The 6,000-nt window shown below is 41.6% G+C and overlaps 1 long non-coding RNA gene across 6 annotated transcripts in view; it reads right to left on the bottom strand.

Annotated features, from left to right (window-relative positions):
* Positions 1-4,969, bottom strand: part of LOC105372733 (uncharacterized) — a 123,425-nt gene extending 118,456 nt beyond the window's left edge. For all 6 annotated transcript variants that reach the window (XR_951173.4, XR_951174.4, XR_951171.3 and 3 more), the window contains exon 1: positions 4,720-4,969. This is a non-coding gene — a long non-coding RNA (uncharacterized LOC105372733). The remainder of the gene's footprint in view (positions 1-4,719) is intronic.
* Positions 4,970-6,000: the final 1,031 nt, after the last annotated feature.

Consider the following 6,000-nt stretch of genomic DNA (forward strand, 5'->3'; position numbering starts at 1 on the left):
CAGCTCATCCTTAGAACTTAATAGACTAGGATTCTTGGTAAAGTATATATTGTATATCTGAAAAATGTAACAGTGACAATATTAAAGTATTGCCACTTAGTGCTGTGTTACCTAAAGAAATTGTCACATTCTGTCAGTCTTATCACTGACATTTAAATTTCAGATATAGGTGAATTCAATATTGAAGTGAATAGAGCTACCGATATTTGCTTTCCTAATATTCATGGAAGTTGTTGTTGACCTCTCATAGATAAATAAGCAAATAATATCTTCAAAAATATATCTAACTTGACTTCTAAGTATTTTGTCATTTGAAGGGATATGAGCAAGTTGAGAAGAAGAAATGTGGAGAGAGAAATATTCATGAAAACTAAATTTATAACATTAAACAATTGCTCAATTCTTAGAAATTTAATCACTACTTATATTTTAAAGCAAAATATTTTTGAACTTATTTAGAAAAATATGACTTCATCTCTCATATGTCCATTCAAAGTTTTAAACAAAGTATAAAAGGAAATTAAACAGTGGAGGAAATGAGAAAGGTCATAGGCATTCAAGAGGTTTCAACAAATTTCTGGAGGAATGAAAGGTAATTGAAGGATGTGTTAAAATAATTTCTATTATTATCTTTATAGATTTAGTGTCCAGTAAACATTTTATAAACAATCCAACTTGCTGTTTTGTGTTCTTGAACTTTATTTAAACTGAATTATATTGTACATATCCTTTTGTGACTTAATCATACCACTGCATATTACGTTTGTGAGAGTAAGCCACATTAACATATCTAAATAAAGTTATCTATGTTTTTCTAAAGTGTAGTATTCCACTGTATGAATCTACCACATTCTACTGTTGTTTAACTTTTGCATTGCTTATAGTACTTAACTGAGCCTGTAAATATTTTGGATCACATTTCTTAATGGCCAACCACGTACATACAAAATAAGGAGTGAAAGCCAATTGCTGATTAGAATATATGGTCATCTTCAATATTACTGGGTAATACAAGCCTCTTTTTAAAACGGATATAATTTCCATTTCCAGGAAAGCATATGAAATTATTATTGCTCTATATGTTTGCCAGAAGTCTTTCTTGTCAGACTGTTTTTGGTCAATCTGTTGTATAAGTAATAATGTACATATAAAACATTTTCATTTGCATTTTTGTGTTAAAAATAAGTTAAAGTGATTCTAAATATGTATGGTGGACACTTATATTTTACATTTTATAAAGCACATGTGCAAGCCATTTTCTTTGTTTTACTGTCGGGTTTTCTGTAATTTTTACCTGGGTTTACATTTAAATATTGATCACCAAGGAATTGATTGTTACATATTATATAAGGTAAAGAATCACTTTAATTATTTTCCATATGTATAGCCAGTTTTCTCACTCTCATTTATTGGCAAATTTATTTTTCACCACTGATCTATAATACCAGCTTTCTTACATATCATGGGTTCTTATATTTTCCTTACTGTAGTCTACCTATTCCATTTCATTGATTATTTATTACTTTGTTAATACCACATTGCATTAAGTCTTATAATATTTCCTGTAATATATTCTTCCTTCCTCAATAAATTATTAACTGAATTTTAATATTTTTAGAGTTTACATAAATTCTAGAATTAGCTTGTCAATATCTAAATCAAACCTTACTGGGTTTTACTTTGGATGCACTAGTTACAAAGATTAATTTTGGGGAGAAGTGATTTCATTAAAGTCTTTCAATTCAAGAATATATTTATGTCAATGTTATGTCTATGTTTATTTGAACTTTATTTAAACTGAGTTATACTGTACATATTCTTTTGTGACTTAATCATACCACTAAATATTATGTTTGTGAGAGTAAGCCACATTGACACATCTAAATAAAGTTCTCTACTTATATGAAATGCATTTCAATATTGCATAATACGTTTGTGTCAAAGCATCTTGCTAAAAGCTCATATTCATTAGTATAATGTATCTTACAATCATTTTGAATTGTCTGTGTACTTAGTGTCATCGGTAACATAGTAATCTGTTTTCTCTTTCATAATTCTTATTTTTTTAATATTTACAATCCTATCCCAGTGTCTAAGACCTGCAAAAGGATAAATAAAATTGCTTGTACCATCTATGTTTATTTTGTTCCCAATCACAAAGGAAATATTTTAACATTCCATTGTTAAGTGTTATAATTTCAATAGAACTTTTGAAAACAAATGTTATTAGTTAAACTAGATTCTCTTTTAATTTTGGGTTGTTAAAATGTATGACTTTTTAAGAAAATAAAATTAAATATGCTTATAATATTGTTAAGTTATTTGTTGTGGTGTATCATATTAATTGATATCTTTACATGAGGCCATTATTGCTTCCCAGGGTTTCTTAGAATAAACATTGGCTGTGATGTCTTACATTTTAATGCATTGCTTATTTCTGCGTGGAACTTTTTTAAGTTTTCCTTCATTATTTTCATAAATTACATTGGTGTTTAATTTACTTTCCCTTTACTATCCTTGTCAGGTTATAATATCAGAGTCATAATAGCATAATAAAATGAAATAGAGTATGTTCTTTCCTGTTTCATGCTCAGAAAGAATTGTATGTAAGACTGGAATTATTGTTTTGTTTCATGTTTGAAACAACTTGCCAGTAAAGTCATCATGGCTTGAAATTATCTTTATGATATGATTTCTGACTACAGATTACATGCATTTGTTGTAGCACAATTCAGATTTTTCTTTTCACTTTAGGTTACTTTTGGAAAAATGCTTGTTTCAAGTAATTGCACACATTTTACATATATTTCCAAATTTATTGAAGGTTTTCATACTACACTAATTTACCTTCTTGATATTTGTATTATTTATAACAAAACTCAATAAACGGTGGCAAATAAGCCAGACAGTATTTATAAATAAAGTATTACTGGAACACTGTCATGCTCATTCATTGACATACTGTCAATTTATGCCACAACAATAGAATTGATTAGTTGCAACAAACCATATAGCCCAAAAACCTAAAATATTTACCACCTGATCCTTTCCAAAAAACAAAAAAAATTCTTGACATCTGATGTATAATTATTTCCTATTTTGATTCCTGAGATTGCATACTTGTTTCTTCTCTTAATTTTATCAAGCCATTTCTCCAGAGTTTTGTTATTGTATGGCTCCTACAACAACTAACAAACTTTTGGCCATATTTCTTGACTTTTCTTTCCCTGTATTCTTAATCACTATGCATGTATTTTTTATTTCCTTTTATTTCTGTTGATATTTCTAACTTCTTCCAATAAATTCAAAACATTTTAAATATTAATTTGTTGTCCTCATAAAATAAGAATTTAAGGTTCTACATTTTCCTCTAAAATGACACATTTTATAATGTAGTATACATTTTTTAATTAAAAATATTTTATAATTTCCATTATGATTTGCTCTTGGGTGTTGAGTTACTAAGAAGTATATTTGTGAGGTTTTTCTTCAATATGACTGACTATAGATATTCGAATCTAGTTATTCTCAGAAAGAGAAAGCAAAGTTATGGATAAATAATCATTAATTCCAATATCTATATTGACGGGAGTGCTAGAGCACCACAAGAAGAAACTTGAACACAGAAAAATAAGGAAGCAAAAATCCAGCAGAGATTATACTCTGAGGGACTTGATGTTCCATGGAAAAGCATAGGTGGGGGTGTCTTTTGCTCCTCTCACCCCTGTGGCAGACTGCTTGTTTCTGAACTGTTGGAGAGCCCTCCATTCTCACAAGCCCAAGCACTGGTGTGGGCTGCAATCTTGGAACAACTTGAGGACAGAGAACAAGGCTACTATTTCCTGCAGTGCCACTTGCCCTTCACCCAGCCCCAAGATGAGGTGGTGGGCACCATACTAGATATGCCTCTGTGGTGGACCTCTATACTGCCTTTGAGTGAGAGAGAGGCTTGCCCCATCCCGTTGACAGCTTCCTTCTCCATCCCTGCGTCGAGCTATGGCTAGATTTCTCCATGAGGGCAGAGGGCGAGAGGCGTGAGAAGCATCTTCTGGAAGGTCTGCGGGCACCCTCCTGCGGGTGGACAATAAGCGCCTGGGAGGCTGTTGTCCTTGGTTGGGGAGCGGTCGTCTGGATCTAGCCTAGCAAAGAGGCTGCTCCGGATGGGGAGGGAATGAAAGCCCCTGCGGCTCCCACGCAGATGCCCACGTTGCCCAGGCCTTCACAGACCCCCAAACCGGAACCGCCGGGAAAACGATTGCCAACCGGCCACAACACCCAGGCAGGGACGCGGGGAGAGGCTGACCAGAAGAAAGGCCGACGTGCAAGAAACCCAGCCTCCGGCGCACAGGGAACATGTGTCCCAAGGCGCACGCACACACAGACGGACAGAGACAGAAAGAGAGGGCGACGGAAAGAGCGAGAAGGGAGAGAGAGAGAGAGAGAGAGAGAGAGAGAGAGAGAGAGACTTAAGAGAGAGACAGTAGTGGGCACACAGACACGCACGTGCGCGCGCGCGCACACACACAGACACACAGACGCGCACACACACCCCCATAACGCACACAGATATACAGCAGGTAACACCCACCCCCAGGCAGCCCCTGAAGCTGCCGGGTTCTGCTCTCCGCGACTACGAGCCACCGGTGAGACAGCAGCCCACGGGCACACAGCGAGACCTGTCCTCGACATCACAAGGCCGCCACTTTTGGGGAGACTCACCCGCACACCGTCCGCGCACGCCTGAGGCTGGGATCCCGCGCTGCCTCCCCGGCGATCTGTCTGAGGTTTCTTCCTCCTGGGGTTTCTTCCTGCTGGTGGACCCTCCGCGAATCCCGGCCTCCGGAGACCGTCCCGGTAACTACCCTGGCCGGGGCTGGTCTCAGCCCCGACTCTGACGCACGATCACACAGGGCTCCCACTTCGCCAAGTCTCAGGGACCCATCCCTTGGCAACGGTGGCGGTCACTGTGACCGAAGCGGCGGCTCGGGCCTCGCGCATGCGCGCTGGCGAGGCCGACTCACCCGCCCCACCCCCCCTTACTCGGCAGTCAGGCTGCGGACCCTTTAAAAAATGGCGGCGACGCCGCGGCTGCGGGGACTGGGGTGGCGGTGCTGGAGCTTGCGGCGGCGGCTGTGGTGCAGCCCCAGGCGGTGGGTGGGAAGAGGACTACCAGAGGGGCCTGCGGGAGACCCAGGGTCGGACCCATAGGAGTCCTGTCGTCAGGACCTCCTTAATCGGTCTTCTGCTTGGGTTCCCGGTGAAGGAGGAGCTTCGGGGTGCCGGCTGGGCTGCGCGGACTCCTCTTGGGATCCGATGATGGATCCCACCCGGTGATCGGGAATGGGGTTACAATGCAGTGAGGCGGAAAGGCGCTCGCCAGGGCGCAGAAAGATTCCCCAGGGCCGCAAGGCGTGCTGTCGGCTGCAAAGGCACTGACCCACGAGCCCACTGCCTCCCTCCTTCCTGGGTGGAGCAGGGGCCTGCCTTCATCTCCAAGGCCCGGGGGCTCCGGCATCTCGACGCGGCTTCCGGCGACACGGGCAAAGAGAGACAGAGGGTAGTCCGAGCCGGAGCCAGTGTGACCACACGTGGCCCTGATGTCCCCCAAGAGCACATGCAGTGAGCCCGTGTCTCTGAGGCCGTAGTGGGCGACGACGAGACGGACAGTGATGTCCAGGCCTGCGCCCGGGGGCCACTGGAGACCTGCCCCTCAAAGCGGAGGAAACGCCAAGCGCACCTGAAAACCTGCGAGACAGGGCCTGTGCGCGAGTCCAGTACTCCTACTTCGCCAAGTCTCAGGGACCCAACCCCCAGCAACGGTGGCGGCACAGAGAGGCGCACGGCGCCGGCGCAGGTTCAGAGAGATAGGAGGCTGATGGGGGGGAAGTTGAGGCACCTGGGGCAGAGAAGAAAATGCATCGCCAAGCGGTTTCTGGGTCATACACGGACGAAAATGTCTTCCCATCAGCCCTTGCGCTGGTCCCCAGGGACCCTGGCATC

This window comes from Homo sapiens, chromosome 21 (assembly GCF_000001405.40).
Source record: "Homo sapiens chromosome 21, GRCh38.p14 Primary Assembly".
NCBI classification, from domain to species: Eukaryota; Metazoa; Chordata; class Mammalia; order Primates; family Hominidae; genus Homo; species Homo sapiens.